The sequence below is a fragment of the Homo sapiens genome, chromosome 3, assembly GCF_000001405.40.
Source record: "Homo sapiens chromosome 3, GRCh38.p14 Primary Assembly".
Classification (NCBI taxonomy): Eukaryota; Metazoa; Chordata; class Mammalia; order Primates; family Hominidae; genus Homo; species Homo sapiens.
Window position 1 is genome coordinate 160,614,739 of NC_000003.12, and position 21,309 is coordinate 160,636,047.

The following is a 21,309-nucleotide window of genomic DNA, read 5'->3' on the forward strand; positions in this document are numbered from 1 at the left end:
TCAACTTAAAAAAAAGGTTTATTGAGATACAACTTACAATAAAAAGTATAAATCTTAAATCTAAAGCTTGATTGATTTTTGCTTATGTATATGCCTATATAACCCCCATCAGATCAATGTATAGAACACTTCCAGCACCCTAGAAGTCTCCCTTGCCCCCTCTTCCAATGAGTATCCTCCCAAAGGTAAAGGTTATTTTGACCTCTATCAATCAGCACAGATTTGTTTGCCTGATTTTGAACTCTACATAATGGAATTATAAAGTATGCAATTTCTTTGTGCTTTTTTCTTTTACTCAACATCATTTTGGTGACACTAGTATTTTTTCATTGCTATATTCATTCCATTGTATGAATACACTATACTTTATCCATTTTACTGTAAAAGGACATTTTGGTTGTGTCACCTTTTATGAATAATTTCACTTATTATGAATAAAGCATTTATAAATATTTTTATATATGTCTTTTGGTAGATGTAAGCACCAATTTCTTTCAGGTTGGTAGCAAGAAGAGAATTTGCTTTATCATAGGCTACGCATATGTTTAGCTTAAGTAGATACACTGCCAAATGTTTTACCAAAGTCATTACAACAATTTATTCTATTGATAAATGTATGAGAGTTCTAAATGTTCTATATCCTTGACATTGCTTCCTATTGGCTTTTGCCAACTTACAAAAATGTACACAATCATTCAAGATAAAAATCGAGATTACAAATTACTATGATACTATAAAAGCATTCAAAATAGGCTTCCTGAGATTGGCGAGTTTCCAGTGGTAAAATAGTAAGAATGGCTAACATTGATTGAGCATTTGTTGCTTGCTGGGCATATTCTAGACACTTTATGTAGATTACCTTATTTAATCATCACTGTAGCTCTATAAAGTATGTACTGTTATCCTCTTGTTATGGATGAGGAATTTGAGGCATAGAGAGACATATTATTAATTCATAGAGTTTTAAAGAGCTGACCTATATAGATCAGTGAATGGAAACCCTCATTACTGACAAAAAAGCCAGACTGGAAAGCAGACTGCATCTTATGAAAGGAAGACCACCTAGCTTATTAGAGATAGAATCTGGATTAGAATCCAGATCTCCTAAGTTCTCATCTGGCATTGTTTATAAATCAACAGTGCACAACCTAGATAATATTAACAGTAACCCAAACAAACATTTTTAAAAAGTGCTTCATTCCATTCAGAATTTAGTTATTATAACTTTGGTTTGTGGAATAGTTTCACTGAGTTCTAAAGCCATTTGAAAAGTGTCAAGCAATATAACAGAAGAATAGAATTCATGTTTTGTAGGACCAAAAGCTTAAACAATTTGGGCAAGACAGTTGTTAAGAAAAATATTATAGAAATATCTTAACATTTGCAAATGTTACAAAAACATATGACCATGTGCTCCAGCCTCCAATTATAAAGTTTTTCCCCAATTATCCCTCTCCTGATATTCACACCCTTGTGTGGTTCTTCTTCCATATTGTATTGCAGTTGGTTTGTGAGACCAATGGAATACAGTAGAAGAGATGATATGTCACTTCTGAGGCTAGGTTATAAAAGACATGATGACTTCTACATTTCTTGGATCATCCACTCTGGGAGAACATAGTTAACATGTTGTCTGAAACCTCAGACAGCCCTGGGGAGAAGCCTGTGTGGTGAGAAACTAAGGCTTCCAGCTTACAACCAAGTCAGTGGACCATTTTGGAAGCAGATCCTTCAGTCCTGGTCAAGCCTTCAGATAACTGCAGCCCTGGCTGACAACCTGACTGTAACCTCTTGAGACATCCTCAGCCAGAGCCACTCAGCTAAGTTGCTCCCAGATTACTGACTCTCAGAAACAGTGTGAGAGAATACATCTATTGTTTTAAGCTGGTATGTTTAGAGTAATTTGTTATACAAAAATTGGTGACTAATACAGACCCCTCACAGGCCCTTGGAAGAGACCCATATAAGTGAGAGGCCCTGAAATTTAAGTTTCATAAGCTTTATAACAAATTGATTTCTGCCTATGTTAGTAGGCAAATTTATTAGATTATTTTAGCAGAGACAGCTAGTTCTCCACCAAAATTTGTGCTTTCTTCCACTGCAGCTGTAACTAGTCTGTCAAGCCATGAGCCACATTGGCCAGCTTGCTTTGCAGCTAAATGTTTCATGTGACTCAGCTCTTGCTAATGGAATGTGAACAGAAATAATACATGCCCTTCTAAACTGTGCTTTCAGGAGACTGGGCATTGTGCTCCTTTCCTCCTCACGGTCCAGGATGGTAACAAAGTGACCTCGGAAGCCACATATTGAGATGGCATAACCCCTGTCTGATTGTGTCCCTGAACAACTTCATGGAGCACAGCCTTTCCCCCCTAGTTTGGGACACCTACTCTGAACCATTTTGTTAGAGAGAAATAAGCCTCTATTCCATTTGAGTGATCATTTTTTTAAAGTCTGTTTATTAAAATGGGTCAGCCTACCCTAACTGATGGCAGTTATGTTCTTCAAATTTTAGATACTTGATTTTTTTCTCCCCAGAGTCTAGTCTTGGTGTTATTTATTCATTTGTTTGTTTGTTAATTTATTAACTGTTTATTCTGTAAATTTTCAATTATACAAAAGTAGAGATATCATAGTAGAGGAAGCCTGATGTACTTATCACTTGGCTTTGGCATTTATGTTATAGGGCCATTCCCATATCCTATGTATATATGCCATATCTACATACATACAGCCATCCCTGTTTCACTGGTACCCCTTTCCTCCTCTGCTCCCTCATGGATTATTTTAAAGCAAATCTCACAATCTCAAACATCATATCATTTTTAGGGGAAAGTTTTAAATGTCATGTAAGAAACCTCCTCCACCTGGAGGAATTCCAGCACCTGGAACTCAGTGCTTTTTGTAAATGGAGTGTTTTTTGTAAAGTTGCAAAAAAGGCCAGTTCCCATTGCTTGACAACACATGATGAGGACAGTGAGAGCTGTAAGGTTAAGCTCGCCTGCTGGAGGGAAAGGCACAGCTTATTCCCACAATCTACCTTCATCCCATTCAAGCTGGATTTTGAGCTTATAAAGGGACCTGACAGTGCCGGGCAGGCTGAAAGTATGAAGTGACCAGCATGAAAGCCAGGGGGAGTGGCAGGTAGTGTCAAGAACTGAGGCTAGATAACCTGGGTTATCTAGTTGTATGCTCTTTAACCATTTACTGAATTACTCAGTTCTTCACTTCTCATTTGTAAAATGGAAATAATATCTATTCTGTCTCACTGGCTTGATATAATTAAATCAGCTAATGTATTTTTAAATTAAGGCTTTATATAATTATTGGTTTCTAATGTGGAAGTAAATGTGAGCGATGTTTTTAATTTTTATTTAATGTTTGCCTTTAGAGTAGAATTTGTAGTCACTTAAGCCACAGGGATCTATTAAAATCAGTGTTAACTGTAGGAATAATTATTTTTCCCAGGTAGGTTTTGGATATGAATCAGTACCACCATCCGTGAGGGGAAAATTATGCTGCAAATTGTATATTTCTAACTATCTTTCATCTGAGAAAATTGGACAGCACCATGGTGAGCCCCTGGAGGAGGAAAGGGCAAACAATCTTGCCAGAACTTTTCCCTGAGTGGCTTAGCTTCTCCCCACTCACCAATGGCTAGATTTTGACCCGGGCAGTTCTGGATAATCTGGGATATGGAGAGGAAGCAGACACCACATTTCCAGATTTTAATGACTTCTCTGCTACATAAAAATGTCTCTTTCTGGATCACTGAGCTCATGCCAACTGGGTTACAGTGTTGGGCAAGGTTGGTGTTGACAGAGAAGGAGGCTGAGGAGGTTGTTTGCTCAGCCCCACCGTGTGCTCCCTGAGCTTGCTATGCCTGCTCGGCAGCCCTGAACCCTCATGCTGGCGTCTTCAGCCTTCACCCTAATCTCTGGCTGTGCCTTTTATCCTCTTTTACCTCTCTATCTTCTTTACTCATTTACAATATTTAAGTAATGCCATCATAGAACTATTCTTAAAAAGGAAGTTTACAATAATTAAAGTGAAAAATAAGCAATACATATTTTCTTCTCTCCTACTGAAGCTGTTGAAACATTTCTCCTTTCTAGTTTCTGTTTTTTTAATGATACAAGAACCTGGTAAGTTTGAGCCTTTTTGTTTTTTTAACTTTTTATTTTATGGTAGTTTTAGATTTACAAGAAAATTGCAAGAAAATACCAAGAGTTCCCATATAACTTTCACCGAGTTATCCCTCTTGGGTAATCTTAGCATCTTACATTACAAAGTACATTTGTCACAACGGAGAAACTAACATTAGTACGTTGTTATTAACCCCAGGCTTTATTTGGATTTCACTAGTTTTTCCACAAGTGTCCTGTTTCTGTTCTGGACCCTGTCTAGAATATCACATTACATTTAGTAGTCATGCCTCCTTAGCCTGCCTTTATCTGGGTTTTTCTTATTTTTCATGACCTTGACAGTTTTGAGGGGTAATAGTGAGATATTTTGTAGAATGTCCCTCAGTTTGATTTTTTCTCTGGTCAGACTGGAAAGATAGGTTTTGGGGAGGATGACCACAGAGATGAAGTACCATCCTTATCGTATCATAGCATGAATAAATATTACCAATTTGACTCAACACTGGTTGTGTTAACTTTGATCACTTGGTTAAGGTAGTGTCTGTCCAACTTCTCCACTGTAAAGTAACTCTCATTCCTTGTCCATACTCCATTCTTTAGGAGCAAATTGCTAAATTCAGCCCATATTCAAGGGGGGAAAAAGGGATTCAGCTTCGCCTCCTAGAAGAAGAGCATCTACAAAAATTGTCTGGAATTCCAATGGAAGGAAGATTTATCTCTTCTCCCTTGTTTGTTTATTTATTTATTTAATCATTTTTTAAATCGGCATGAACTTCTAGACATTTATTCTATACTTTGGATTATAATCCAACACTATGTTTTTTGTTTTTTGTTTTTTTATTGAGATGCAGTCTTGCTCTGTCGCCCATGCTGGAGTGCAGTGGCACGATCTCAGCTCACTGCAATCTCTGCCTCCCGGGTTCAAGTGAGTTTCCTGCCTCAGCCTCCTGAGTAGCTTGGATTACAGGCGTGTGCCACCATGCCCAGCTAATTTTTGTATTTTCAGTAGAAACGGGGTTTCACCATGTTGATCAGGCTGGTCTTGCCCTCAAATCTTTTCAGGTTTGTTTTGGGAGCACTTTCACATTTGCTCCCATATCTTTGAATGCCCTCATGGATTTGTTTTTTGAGCATTATAGGATGCTCTATTTTGCATTTTCCCTGCCCCAGCCCTAGAATCAGCTATTTCTCTAAGGAGCCCTGATTCCATTTACTAGAGAATGATATTAGGGTTCAAAATTTGGGCATTGAGAGTGCTCATTTTTACTGGGAAGAGCATTTAAAATATACGTATATATATAGAAATTGTGTTTGTTTCAGTACCAGCCATTTATTTGCCTGTCACCTGTAACAATATTTTGATGGAATCACATATATTTTACTCTATGGGTTAAAATCTGTGTAGATTACACTGTTAATCTGTGTAGTATTTATCTGTTAAATGAATTTCCCATTTGAAAGAAAAACTAACTGAGGTAGGTAACCTAGCAAGTTTAGATAAAAAAAAATCTAGCCTTACAAAAAAAGTAAGTATCACAGGATAATTTATTTATAAGAACAAAAATCTTCTTGTTCCATTAAAAAATCTTAAGCAGAAAATCTCTTTATGTGCACTTAAAATATAATTCAATTTAACAAAATTTAATTTGCGCATACCTTTTCAGTAACACACTGTTTCAGCCGAGCTTCCCTAGAAAACAAAACCTGAGGCAAACTTTACCTGCTAAAAGTTTACTGAAAGTAAAATTCCAGGGTAGGAAAGGTGAGAGAAGATGGAAATGAGTCAAAGAAGGAAGGAAAGTAAATACAACGTGGTATGTTATCAAGCTGGCCACAAACTCTCAAAGAATACAACTTGCTCAGTTACATGGAACTTCTCTGGAGAAGACATACAAAATCCTTGGGGCCAGGGTAAACCATGGCTGGAGAAGAAATTTATCTGTTGGCTCCTTCTAATGGAGACTGTGCTGAGGTTCAACCCTCATTCCCAAGGAAGGCTGAGTAAGTAGTGTTAGGAGATAGGTGATGGTAGTTCAAGTAGCAGAAGTAGGGGGTAGAAGGTGGGGCCATGCAAATTTACTGAGGTGCATCGGTGAGTCTAGTACACACACATGGAGCAAAGCAAGTTGCCTACATTTATTATGCATTAAAAAACTGGAAGCAGCCAGGCATGATGGCTTATGCCTACAATCTCAGCACCTTGGGAGGCCAAGGCGGGAGGATTGCTTAAGTCCTGGAGTTCAAGACCAGCCTGAGCAATTAGCAAGATTTTGTCTCTATAGAAATAAAAATTAAAAAAAAAAATAACTAGCTGGGTGTGGTGGAACATGCCTGTAGTCCTAACTATTTGGGAGACTGAGTCTGAGGATTGCTTGAGCCTGGGAGTTAGAGGTTACAGTGACCTATAATTGTGCCACTGCACTCACTCCAGCCTGGGTGACAGAGTGAGACCATGTCTCTCTAAATAAATAAATAAATAGCTGGAAGCAAAATATATTTGAAATTATCTTCTTAGAGAACTGACACTTCCATATTAATATGATCAATAATAATAATTCCTTATTTTGTACAGGCATGTCAGTTTCCAAGGGATTATATCTGGCTCAACTGTTAGTCTCACCTTCAAATAATGAAATAAGTATAGATTCACAAGAAGCTGCAAAGTTAGTATAGAGACGTCTGGTGTTGAGAGGTCCCATCTTGTTTTCCTCATTGCCATTGATTACATCTTTTGTATTTATAATACAATATCAAAGCCAGGGAACTGACATTGGTGCTATGTATGTGCAGGATTCTATATCATTTCATCACATGTAGATTTATATAACCACTACCACATTCAAAACACAGGACTATTCCATCGCCACAAAGATCTCCCTTGTGCCATCCCTGTATAGTCACTCTTCCTCCTCCACTTCTACCATCCCTAACTCCTGGCAACTGCTAATTTGTTCTCTATCTCAATAATTTTGTTATTTTAAGAATACCATATAAATGAACTCATACAACATGTGACCTTTGAAATTGGCCTTTTTCTGAGATGCACTTAGTTTTACCTCCTTGCTCCAGCACTAGTAGCTATGTGATTAGGATAATAACTTATCTGAGCTTCAGTCTTCCCAGCTATAAAATGGGGGAAATAGTATCTTCCTCATAGCCTATTGTGAGGATTAGTGAGATAATATTTATAAAACATTGCCTGGCACATAGAAAGGACTTAAAAACTATTAGCAATTTTTATTATAATAATTATTTTTATTATTAATGTTATCTGTGAAGCTGTTGCACATTGGACAAAGCATGAGATTTGGAGATTTAAAGCCTGGGTTTAAATTCCAATTCTCACTTTTATATTTTCTGACCTTGGATAAGTTAACTTATCTGGTCTTTGTCTTAGACCATTATCAGTATCATGAGAATTAAATGAGATAATATATATGGAAAAGCACAGCACACCCAGGTGTCCTAAATACCTTCATTTTAAAAATTCCAAGCCTACTAAAGAAAGCTGTAAGCCAGACACATAGCAAGTTTAAAAAGATGTTTGTTTTACCTTCCTAGGGCAGGGGATGGTGTGAGTTCCCAGACAGAACATGACAGCAGAGCCCAGGTTGAGCAAGAGAGGGTGGGAAACAGAAATGTTTCCAGCAATTTTTCTTTCTTTCTTTTTTTTTTTTTTTTTTAATCATGAAGATTCAGTGTGTCCTACAAGTGAATGTTTGAGTCATTCTGAATTAAACTGGGAGAATATGATGATTATCTCTAGTTTGGTGTGCCTAATCTATCTTTTCTTTTGGGGAACTCCTACTGCATTCCCTTGGCTCTTGACGGTTGTCAGTTACAGCACTCCATTTCACTCCTCTCTTTCCCCTCAGAGAACAGAGATGACCACATGACCAGGAATGTTAGTAAACATTTTCTCCTCTACGTGGATGAAAACCTGCCTTCAGTAGAAGAGATTGAGACAGGCAGCTGTGAGAGAGAGCATGAGGACATTGCCTGAGTTCCTGGATTCATCTGTCCCTGAAGCTGGACTATGCCCCAGACTTCCAAGCTGAAAAAACCAGTATAGTCCTGAGCTTTCATTGCTTATACTTATTCAAGTTGGGTTTCTGTAGCTCAAAGTGTCCTGGCTAATATAGGAACTTCTGCAAAATGCACAAACTTGGCCTCCAAGTCTGGAGTTTCTGATGTGGTAGGTATGAAATGTAGCTGAAGCATGTGCATTCTTTTTAAGCTTCTCTAAGCTCTATATCCTGGCTCAAATTGAGAACCATTGCTTTTTTTTTTTTTTTTTTTTTTCTTTTTGGATTTCAAATTCACAGGACAAATTTGGTCATATTCAGTTCATGGTATGTTATCATTATTGGTTCATGCAATGTCAACATTCCTCTCTTATTTTGCTAACTATATTTTATTGCCATACTCCACCTCCCTGAAGACCACAATTCTAGTATATTTAATGAATAACTTTTTTATGTGTTTTTGTAAAATATGTTTTGTTGTTTTCTGTGCATGTCTTTCTCAGTTATAAAAACAGCACTTTGTTATATAGTTCAGTCTGTTTTTACTTTTAAAAAATTAATATTTATATTTTAGTGCAGTTTTAGGTTTATAGAAAAATTGAGCAGAAAGCACAGAAGGATCCTATATAATATACCACCCTGGCCCTCTGGCAATTTTCCTTATTGTTAACATCTTGGATTAGTATGGTGAATTTGTTATAGTTGATAAACCTATATTGATGAATTATTATTAACTAAAGTCCATAGTTTACATTAGGGCTCACTGTGTTATTTAGTTCTATGGGTTTTGACAAATGTATATCTTGTATTTACCATCACAGTTTCATACAGAGTAGTTTCACAGCCCTAAAATTCCCCTTTTGTTCCACTTTTTCATCTCTCTTCCCCCTTCTAAAGCCCTGACAACCACTAACCTTTTTATTGTCTCCATAGTTTTGCCTTTTCCAGAATGTTGTATACAGTTAAGTCCTCACCTAATGTTGTCAAGAGGCTCTTGGAAACTGTGACTTTAAGCAAAATGACCTATACCAAAACCAGTTTTACCATAGGGTAATTGATATTTACAAGAGTTAAGTTCCTAAGGCATATTTCTGGTCACAAAAAAAAAAAATCACTAAACTTCTAAATAAAGACTCCAAACACTTCTAATATTAAACATAGAAATAAATGTGAGCTACACATACACTTAAGACAGAGTAATAAAAACAAGTAAGATAATTATTTATCCAATTTTTGGTGAATCAATGAGTGATGGCAGTCATAGTGGTCATGGGCTAAATTAAATAATTTTGCAAAGCAAAAATTGTAAGGAGCACCTCCTGTCATCACACAGTTCAAAAACAAACAACAGCAAAAATGACAGCTCGCTGAGAGCTTTTGTCTTGAATCATTTATTGTTGTGCATTTGTGTAATTATTGTATACTTTACAAATTTTTATTTTACAATAATTTGCATTCATTCATTCATTCATTCATTCATTCATTTACTTTCCAGCCCACTCATTCCAGTTCAGGGTTGCAGGTAGCCAGGACTTATCCCAGCAGCTCAGGGCACAAGGCAGGAGCCCATGCTGGACAGAACTCTATCTCATTGCAGGGCACACTCACACTCATACCCATACTCACTCAGATTGGGACCATTTAGACACAACATTTCACCTAATGCGCATGTCTTTGGAATGTGAGGGGAAACGAGAGTACATGGAGAAAAGCCACTCAGACATGGGGAAGCCTTGCAAACTCCACATGGACAGTGGCCTAGGCCAGGAATCAATTTTTTTTTCTCATCAACATTGTAGCCAAACGTCTTTGAATGAAATGATGTAATTAGAGGACCTGCTGTAATTGGAATCATATCGTATGTCATTCTTTTAGATTGGCTTCTTTCACTTAGCAATGTACGTTTAAGATTCTTCCATATATTTGCATGGCTTGTTAGCTCATTTCTTTTTATCACTGAGTAATATATTATTGTGTGGATGTACCACAATTTGTTTATCCATTCACCTATTCAAGGATATTTCCATTGATTCCAAGTTTTGGCAATTATAAATAAAGTTACTATAAACATTTGTGTGCAGGTTTTTTGTAGGAACATAAGTTTTCAACTCACTTGGGTAAATATCAAGGCGTGCTATTGCTGGATTGTGTGGTAAGAGTATATTTACCTTTGTAAGAAATTCTAAACTGTTTACCAAAATTGCTGCACCATTTTGCATTACCACTAGCAATGAACGAGTTTCTGTTGCTCTACATTCTTGCTACCATTTGGTGTTGTCAGTGTTTTGGATTTTAGCCATTCTAATAGGTATGTAGTGGTATCTCATTGTTGTTTTAATTTGTATTTCCCTGATAACATAGACTGCTGAGAATCTTTTCATATGCTTATTTGCCATCTGCATATATTCTTTGGTGAGATGTCTGTTCAGATTGTTTGTCCATTTTTCAATTGAGTTGCTTTTTATTGTTGAATTTGAGTCCTTTGTACATTTTGAACACAAGTCCTGTATCAGATATGTGTTTTGCAAATATTTTCTCCCAGTCTGTGGCTTGTTTTTTCATTGTTTTAACAGCATCTTTCACAGAGAAGAGAATTTTATATTTTAATGAAGTCCTACCTATCAATTTTTTTATGGATTCTACTTTTGTTGTTATATCTAAAAGTCATTGCATACAGAAGATTGAGTAGATTTTTGCCTGTTATCATAATTTTTATTTTATTTTAGTTTTTATAGATACAGGGTCTCAGTCTGTTGCCAAGATTGCAGTGTAGAGGTGCCTCCAACTTCTGGGCACAAGCAATCCTCTCGCCTCAGTCTCTCAAGTAGCTGGGACTAGAGGCTTGTGCCATCACACCTGGCTAATTAAAAATTTTTTTTGTAGAGATAGGGTCTCAATATGTTGCCTAGGCTGGTCTTAAACTCCAGGCTTCATGCAATGCTCCTGCCTTGGCCTCCTGAAATGGGAGTATAGGTGTGAGCCACCATGTCCAGTCCTTGCCTATGTTATTTTTTAGCAGTTAAAAAAAAAAAAGAAATTGGCTGGGCAGGGTGGCTCATGCCTGTAATCCCAGCACTTTGGGAGGTTGAGGTGGGAGAATTACTTGAGCCCAGGAGTTCAAGAACAGCCTGGGCAACATGGCGAGACTCCATCTCTAAAAAACAAACAAACAAACAAACAAAAACACAAAAGAGCTTCTAATTATGTATTTATTTTAATTTTCAATTTTTGTGGGTGCACAGTAGGTGTATATATTTATAGGATACATGAGATATTTTCATATAGGCATACACTGCATAACAATCACATTGGGGTAAGTAAGGTCTCCATCAACTTAAGCATTTATCTTTTTTTTGTATTACAAACAATTCAATTATACTTTTAATTATTTTAAAATGTACAATAAATTATTGTTGGCTGCTTTCACCCTCTTGCACTATCAAATACCAGATCTTATTTATTTTATCTAACTATATTTTGTACCTATTAACCATCCCCACTTCCTCCCACCCAGTTTGTATAGCTTGTGTTTTACATTTAGATCTATTTTCTATTATATTCCTTAATGTTTTTATGAAGTAGTAAGGCATTATGTTTTTAGGATCCATCTGTTTTCCTATGTATCCATTTAATCTGTGGTTTAATTGTTGTATAGACCTCCATAGTGTGCATCTGCAAGTTCATCTGTCCACTTTCCCTGTGACAGGCCACTAATTTGCCTCCAACTTCTTGTCACCACAAATAATGCTAAAGCAAATATCTTCATACATGTTCCCTCATGGATCTATATGAAAATTCTTTAGATTCATGCTCAAGATTGGAATTACCGAATTATGGAGCATACTTAATCAAATCAAGAAGTGGCAGGGTGCTTGCCAGCATGGCTGCACCATTCTGCACTCTTGTGTTATCTAGCTTTCTGATTTTTGCCAGTCTAATAGCTGTAAAAGATCCCACTGTTACTTAAATTTGTATTTCTCAAATAATCATTGATTTATTATATTTTACTTTATTTTGTTTTTTGAGACAAGGTCTTACTCTGTCACCCATGCTGGAGTTCAGTGGCACACTCTTGGCTCATTGCAACCTCTACCTCCTGGGCTCAAGCGATCCTCCCACCTCAGCCTCCCAAGTAGCTGAGACTACAGGTGTGCCCCACTGTGCCTGGCTAACTTTTGTATTTTTGTAGAGACAGGGTTTTTGCCATGTTGTCCTGGCTGGTCTCGAAATCTTAGGCTCAAGTGATCCACCTGCTTTGGCATCTCAAAATGCTGGGATTACAGGTGTAAGCCACCGTACCAGGACTGATTTATTATATTTTAAATTCTGATATAAGAGGCCACTGCAATAATAAGGTAATTTTTTTATTTCTAAAAAGTGAATACAAGTTAACTTGTAATTATCTGAATTAATAAATGTTTTCAGAAATTAAAATAACTTAAACAGTCCCTTCTTGTCTAAGAAGTAAAATGATGAAAAACAAAAACCCCAGATTTACTTTATGAATAAATATAAAGAGAAGGACTTTCAATCAATGTGAGGCCCTTGAAACTGAACTCAACCTGATAATTAAGGGAGTCTAGTTGATGTGGAATTTCAAAGTAATATTTGAATGAGAGGTAATTTTTAAACAAATAAATTTCCAGGTCATATAGTGGTTAGATAGTTGACTTTTGAACATCAGCTGTCTTGGAAATGAAGAATAAGACTGTGCTGCATGTTAGGAAGCCTCTTGACTCACAATAAATAAGTGTTTTTCTGTGAATGGAAGCAAAGAGATGTCCTGGAATATGGAAACAGATACCATAGGACTCCAAATTCTGTAAAACAAATAGGAGTGGAATCACTTCGAATTTTCTTTTCCTTCTGATATTGCTTGGTTTATTTTGCTTAATCAACAAACGTTTATTTCTTATGGTTTGGGAGGCTGGGAAGTCCAATATCAAAGCACTGGCAGACTCTGTGTCTGGTGAGGATCTGCTTCCTAATTCAAAGAATGGTATCTTCTCACTGTGTCCTGTCATGGTGGAGGGCAAAGCTAGCTCTCTATGGACTCGTATCAGGAAACTAGCCCCAATTACGAGGCCTCCATCTTCATGATGTCATCTAATCCTACCAATCAGCAGAGACATGGCCTCCAAACACCATCACATTAAGTGGTAGGGTTTCAACATATGAATTTGGGGGGACATACACTCAGCCAAAACCTCTGGCCCCCCCACATCCATGTCCTCACATGTAAGATATATTCATCCCATCCCCAAAACCTCAAAAGTCTTAACTAATTCCAGCATGAACTCTAATGTTTAAACTCAAATTCCAAAGTGTTGTTTCAATATCATGTAAGTCAGGTATGGGTGAGATTTTCCTTCTGAAAATCTCAGTTTTAAAACTCTTGACTTGTCTTCAAAGTTAAAAAAGAAAAGAGTTTATTACAAATATCATAGCAAGGTTACAAGTTCTTTGATTTTACACTTGTGAGAACTAGTTTCAAAGTAAGTTCTCAATTCAATTCTTTGAATTAAATTGAAAAAGAAAACTGCGCCGGAGAGAAAGGGTCAACATCTAAAGAGAGAAGCTAGAAATTGTTCTAATGGTGACTGTCATGTGAGGGTGTCATAAGACCCTAAGATATCTATAGTAAAAAGAAATTTCCATCTCTGTCAGTGAGGCTACAGGAAAACAGGCACCTTCTACACTTCTGGGAAACATTGGTATAACTCCTCTGAGAGGCATTTTGGCAATATCTGTGAAATTTTCATATGCATCTACACTCAGATCCATGGATCTATGGAAATCCTGTTCAGGTTGGACTCAATCTGGAAGCTATTTCTTCCCAAAAGGAACTGAATACAAATCTCACTGAAAGCCTCAGTATGGGAGAACACAGAAGTACTGATAGACAAAGAGCTGTGAATGTGGAAAACAGTGCTGATCTCAAGGCATAAGAAGCTGGTTGCAGGTTCAGCACAATGTATTCAAGAAAAGCTAAACCTATGAACCAGGGAGATGTCTTGCTAAAACTCTGAACTTTTGAGCAACTGTAGATGGCGATTTTGAGAATTCTTTTAAATGAGTTGTAAGAAAGCAGTCATTGTTGGGCAAACTGATATGTGACAAGAAAAGAGGGTGTTACTTTGAGGAGGGTCAGTAAAGCCTGGATAATCTAGGAAGTGAAATCCAGTTAAGAACAGAAACATTTCCTAAGAATTACCTAAGAATTTCCACCACTTCTTTTGCGAAGAGACAATGGAATATGACACCAGAATGCCTCTGCGCAGTGTTTGTTGTAGTATTAGGTGTGGGTATAATTCGTGAACTGCTTGGGTTTTCTTTTATACTATGGTTCGGCCAGTTTCAATTGGTCCTTGAATTGTTTTTATAAAGCCCCAACCGAAGAACTCCTCCAATATTGTTATAGATAACAATCAGTGCTGAGTGGACCCACATTGACAGTTGCAGTCAGTTGCCCAGGTGGACTGTGGCCCTGGCAGCATGGCGCCTGGGTGTTCTGTCTGGGGTGCTACTTGTTACAATGGCACTGGACAAGAAATGATGTCCATCATGGTGACTGGCCCCACGAGAAAAGAGCACTTTATGTTTAGTACATTCTGTTCCAGAAAGTAAGGAAGTATGTAATTTATTATAGAAATAGTGACATATAATGAGTACTTTTTAAGAAAAGTTCCAGTGCTCTAAAGCAGTGGTTCTCTAACATTACTGTAATCTTAATCACTTGGAGTGCTATTAAAACAGATTGCTGGGTTCCATCCAGACTTTCTGATTCAGTAGGTCTGGAGTGGGGACCGGAGAAGTTGCATGCTTCCATTATCTGGAACATCATGTGGTAAGTTTCTTATTTTTCATGATTCTGAACACTTAAGATATATTGCTAAAAAGCTGGAAGCATTCCCCTTGAAAACCAGCACAAGACAAGGACGCCCTTTCTCACCACTCCTATTCAACATAGTGTTGGAAGTTCTGGCCAGGGCAATCAGGGAAGAGAAATAAAGAGTATTCAAATAGGAAGAAAAGTCAAACTGTCTCTGTTTGCAGATGACATGATCCTATATCTAGAAAACCCCATCATCTCAGCCCAAAAGCTCCTTAAACTGATAAAAAACTTCAGCATAGTCTCAGGATAAAAATTCAATGCGCAAAAATCACAAGCATTCCTATACACCAACAACAGACAATCAGAGAGCCAAATCATGAATGAACTCCCATTCACAGTTGCTACAAAGAATAAAATACCTAGGAACACAGCTAACAATGGAAGTGAAGGACCTCTTTAAGGAGAACTATAAACCACTGCTCAAGGAAATTGGAGAGGACACAAACAAATGGAAAAACATTCCATGCATATGGATAGGAAGAATCAATATCGTGAAAATGGCCATACTGTCCAAAGTAATTTATAGATTCAATCCTATTCCCATTAAACTACCATTGACAGGAACTTAAACAAATTTACAAGAAAAAAACAACCCCATTAAAAAGTAAGCAAAAGACATAGACAGACACTTCTCAAAATAAGACATTTATGTGGCCAAGAAACGTGAAAAAAAGCTCAATGTCACTGATTATTAAATAAATGCAAATCAAAACCATAATGAGATACCATCTCACACCAGTCAGAATGGCGATTATTAAAAAGTCAAGAAACAACAGATGCTGGCGAGGCTGTGGAGAAATAGGAACACTTTTACACTGTTGATGGGACTGTAAACTAGTTAAACCATTGTGGAAGACAGTGCGATGATTCCTCAAAGACCTAGAACCAGAAAGGTAACCGCCCAATGGGTTCACCTTGCCCGCTGCCTAGACAGAGCCGATTTATCAAGACAGGGGAATTGCAGTGGAGAAAGAGTAATTCACACAGAGCCGTTGTGCAGGAGACTGGAATTTTATTATTACTCAAATCAGTCTCCCCAGGCATTCGGGGTCAGAGTTTTTAAAGACAATTTGGCGGACAGGGGCTTGGGAAGTGGGGAGTGCTGACTGCCTAGGTTGGAGATGGAATCATAGGGGGTCAAAGTGAGTTTTTCTTGCTGTGTTCTGTTTCTGGGTGGGATGGCAGAACTGGTTGAGCCAGATTACCGGTCTAGGTGGTCTCAGCTGATCCATCAAGTACAGGGTCTGAAAAATATCTCAAGCACTGATCTTAGGTTTTACAATGGTGATTTTCTCCCCAGAAGGAATCTGGGGAGGTTCAGACTCTTGGAGCCAGAGGTTGCATGACCCCTGAACTGTAATTTCTAATCCTGTAGCTAATTTGTTAGTCCTGCAAAGGCAGACTGGTCCTCAGGTGAGAAAGGGGTCTTTTTGGGAAAGGACTGTTATCCATTTTGTTTCAGAGTCAAACCATGAGCTGAATTCCTTCCCAAAGTTAGTTTGGTCTATGCCCAGGAATAAACAAGGACAGCTTAAAGGTTAGAAGCAAGATAGGAGTTGGTTAGGTCTGATTTCCTTCACTGGCATAATTTCCTCAACTATAATTTTGCAAAGGCGATTTCAGAAATACCATTAGATCCAGCTATCCCATTATTGGGTATAAACCCAAAGGAATATAAATAAATCATTCTATTACAAAGATACGTGCATGTATATGTTCATTGCAGCACTATTTGCAATAGCAAAGACATGGAATCAACCCAAATGCCCATCAATGATAGGCTGGATAAAGAAAATGTGGTACATATACAGCATGGAATGCTATGCAGCCATGAAAAGGAATGAGATCATGTCCTTTGCAGAGACATGGATGGAGCTCGAAGCTATTATCCTCAGCAAACTAACACAGGAACAGAAAACCAAACACCACATGTTCTCACTTACAAGTGGGGGCTGAACAATGAGAACACATGGACACAGGGAGGGGAACAACACACACTGGGGTCTGTTGTGGGGGCACAGGGGTAGGGAGAGCATCAGAATAAATAGTTAATACCTAGGCAATGGGGCTTAATATCTAGGTGATGGGTTGAAAGATGCAGCAAACCACCATGGCACATGTTTACCTATGTAAGAAACCTGCATATGGGGGCCCCAGGCTTCAGACCCTTCACAGAATCCTTAGGGTGTCTGCTTCAGAGAGTGTCTTCGTAGCTCCTGGCATCCTCATTTTCCCTCCTGATGTCAGCTATGTGGTTCCCCCTGCCCTGCACATATATCCTGGAACTTTAAATTAAAATAAAAAATAAAACAATAAAAATTTTAAAAAATGACCTGAATAGACATTTCTATATGAAGACATACAGATATGTGAAAAATATGCTCAAAATCACTAATCATTAGAGAAACCACAATGAAATATCACCTCACACCTGTAACAATGGCTACTGTCAAAAAGATGAAAGATAACAAGTGTTGGCAAGAATGTGGAGAAAAGGGAACCCCTGTACTCTGTTGGTGAGAATGTAAATTAGTACAGCCATTATAAAAAACTGAATGGAGGCTACTTGAAACACTCAAAACGGAATTATCATATGATCCAGCAACCTCACTTCCGAGTATTTACCCCCCAAATTTAAAGTCAGTTTGTCAAAGAAATATCTGCACTCTCATGTTCATTGTAGCATTATTCATTTGGCTGGAATTAGAGAACATTATGCTAAGTGAGATAAGCCAGGCACAGAAAGATAACTATCTCATGTTCTTACTTTACGTGGCATCTAAAACAACTGAACTCATAGAAGTGACAATAAAATGGTAGTTACCAGAGTCTGGGGCAACCACCCTTCTACATTCTGACTCTTATAAATTTGACTACTCTAGATACTTCATGTAAGTGAGATAGTACAGTATTTGCCTTTTTTTGTGATTGGCTTATTTCACTTAGTTTAATGTCCTCCAGGTTCATCCACGTTGTAGCATGAAAGAAACACCTATTTACTATCTCACAGTTTTCTGTAGGTCAGAAGTGCAGACACAGTGCAGCTGGTATGGGATAGTGGAGGAGATTGTGCATGTGTCAGGGAAATGGGTATTTGAGAGCTCCCTGTACTGTCCACTCAATTTTGCCGTGAACCTAAAACTGGCATTAAAAAAAACTATTAAAAAAGAAAGATGTATTGCTAAGTGACATGGGAAGCAGGGTGCTCATTACAACCGATCCTGCTTCCTTTCCTGCACCCAAGGCTCCCAGGACCGCTCTGCTGTGCTTCCTTCATCCTTCCAGCAGCACCTACATCCAAATTGGAATCTAAAGTGGGAGTTACCTCTTGACTTTCACTCTTCTCTTTCTTAATTATTTTCTTCCCTTTCTTTCATTTCTTGGCACTAATACATGTAAAGCAATTGTGAATAATACATGACAATAGAATTGAGCAATTAGGTTTTAGGTGTTCACAGAAAGGAACAATTAGGAAAGACCCATGGTGGAATTAAACTATAAGCTTGACCTTGATAGAAGGATGACATTTTACTCATCAGACGGAAGACAGCATACATGTCAGACCCAGGCAGCATCTTGGGCAAAGGCCCAGAGGCGGGACACTGGAGAGGCAGGCCTGAAAAGAGAGGTAGTGGAGAGTACTAAGATGGAAGTTTGAACAGGAAGTATGTGGCTGGAGAGCCAGGCAGCGTTCAGAGTTGACTTAGTAAGACATGGAAAGGTGTGGAAGGTTTTATGGTGATTAAAGGCCTGTTTCAAGCAGATTAGTTAGGAGATGGAGTGACAGGGTGGCTTGACAGTGGAGACTACCTAGCAGGCTGTTCTGGAAATTCAACCTGTATGAGCCAGCACTGGTCTCCTTCTTAACCACCTGAAATGTGTCTGATCCATGACATCCCTAGATATGATTTCCTCAGTGTGTCTGGGTAAGCTGGGCCACATTATGTTCTGCTCATTTTCTTAAAGTTTCTAAACTTTCTAAAAATCACTTTCACTTGCAGTATTTCATGTCATTCATTGTTCAAACTGGTACACATATATGTATCTCAAATACATATATGTATCTTATCCTTTTAAGCTCAAAATTTTACTTTCCATTTCACAAAATTGGTTATTACTTCTGAATTAGCCTTTAATTTCCTTATACCACCTCACTTTCTCATCTCTCCAAGCTTTTGTTTTTCCTGCCTCAATAACTTTTCTCCTCATTTAATTATCTAAACGTATACTATCTTTACATTCTTTTTCTACCTGGCTTAGTTTAGAGGTAAGCGTTTCTGTTGCCTGATCATCAAACTCACTAAAATATACAGTGACAGATGGTTTTTTTCTTCCCAATGTTGTTTCCACTTAATTTATGTCATCTATGATTCATAGATCATCTCAGAATAAAAGCAGGATATTTTCCTCATTCGAATAAGAGAATTCAAGCATTGTCCTTTATGTTATATGACTAACCCACATTTCCCTGGGCCATCGTGACAAAACAGCAATGTGTGGCTCAGTCTTTATTAGTAAAATATGGGGACCCCAGGCCTCAGACCCTTCACAGAACTCTTAGGGTATCTGCTTCAGAGGGTGTCTTCCTAGCTCCTGGCATCCTCATTTTCTCTCCTGATATCAGCCATGTGATTCCCTCTGCCCTGACATCCCCCTGCACACCCAACAGTGGCACATGCATGGCTGCTTCTTAATTGCGTTCTCAATGGCTTTCTTGCCACCCTTCTCTCCCAGCTTGCCCTCTTCCTGAGCCCTAAAGCACATGTTACTTGTGCTCTGGTTTACAGGGGCTCTGTTCTTTATTGCCCCTTTCCAGGAAGAAAGCACGAGTCCCAAAGCTGGGCTGAGCGGCAGTCATAGGGACACCTCACTGTGCTGCCTCACCACGTTGCCTCACGGACCAGAGGAATGTATACTTTGGGTACATTCTTCCAATGCACTTAGATTAAGCATGTGCACCTTAACTCTCATCTCAGGGAACAAACAGAATCATGAATTACTTTGAGTGATTCAGATAGCTTATTCCATAAGCTTTGGACATTTTTAGATAGTTTCTACTATCTAACCCTATCTTTGAGAAATTTGAAAACATTTTCCCAACGTTCCTATTTCTTACACCCTCCCTAGATGCTATACTTATGGTCTCAATGTGTCCATGAATGTGAATCAAAACCACGAGCTCTGTCAGCTCCCAAATACCATCAAAATATCCAAATGTCCAATGTACAAATATTAGCTCTCACTCATTCATTGAAAATTATATTTTTAGCATCTCCTCTGTGCTAGGCATTGTTCTCAGCACTTGGATTATAGCAGTAAACAGGGCAGACAAAATCTCTGCTCTCAGAAAATGTGTATTTTCATAGAAGAGAGTTAACAAATAAATAATTTCAGAGAGTAATAAGTACTGTGAAGAAAATAATACAAGCTAATATGATAGACAGTGATAAGGATGGTGAAGGAGGCCTCCTTGAAGAGGTTTTGCTGGAGACCTCCATGATAAGAGGGAGGCAGTAGGGAGATGTCCTAGGCAGAGAATACTCCAAGTAGGAGAAAGATTAAGTGTAAAGACCTTGGAAGAATTGGAAGCAGGAGCACCAGTGAGCCTGGAATGTAATGTAAATGGGGGATGGGGAGTGAAGGGAATGATGAGGGGTGAGATAAGAGAGGGAAAGGTCATATTACCTAGGGGGATAAAGAGATTGGATTTTATTTGAATACTACAAGAAGCCATTGAAAAATTTAACCAGTGGAAGATCATGATCTGATTTAAGTCTTTTAAAAAAGTGAGGTATAATTCACATAACTTTAGTATTTTAAAGTGTACATTTCACTGGTTCTTAGCATTTCACAATGCATGTATCCATCATCACAAATTCCAGAACATTTGTATCATTCCCCCACAAAAACCCTGTACCTCTTAACTGTTACTCCCCATTCTACCTTCCCCTCAGCCCCTGGCAACCACTAATTTACTTTTGGTCTCTATGGATTTGCCTGTCCTGGACATTTCATAAATAGACTCATACAGCCTATTGTGTCTGTTTTCTTTCATTTATCATAATGTTTTCAAGGTTTATTCACACTGCAGCATGTAACAGTACTTTATTCCTTTTCTATGGCAGAATAATATTTCATTGTGTGTATATACCACATTTTGTTTATCCATTCATCAGTTAATGAGCATTTAGGCTGTTCCACTTTTTGGCTATTATGAATAATACTTCTATACATATTCATATAT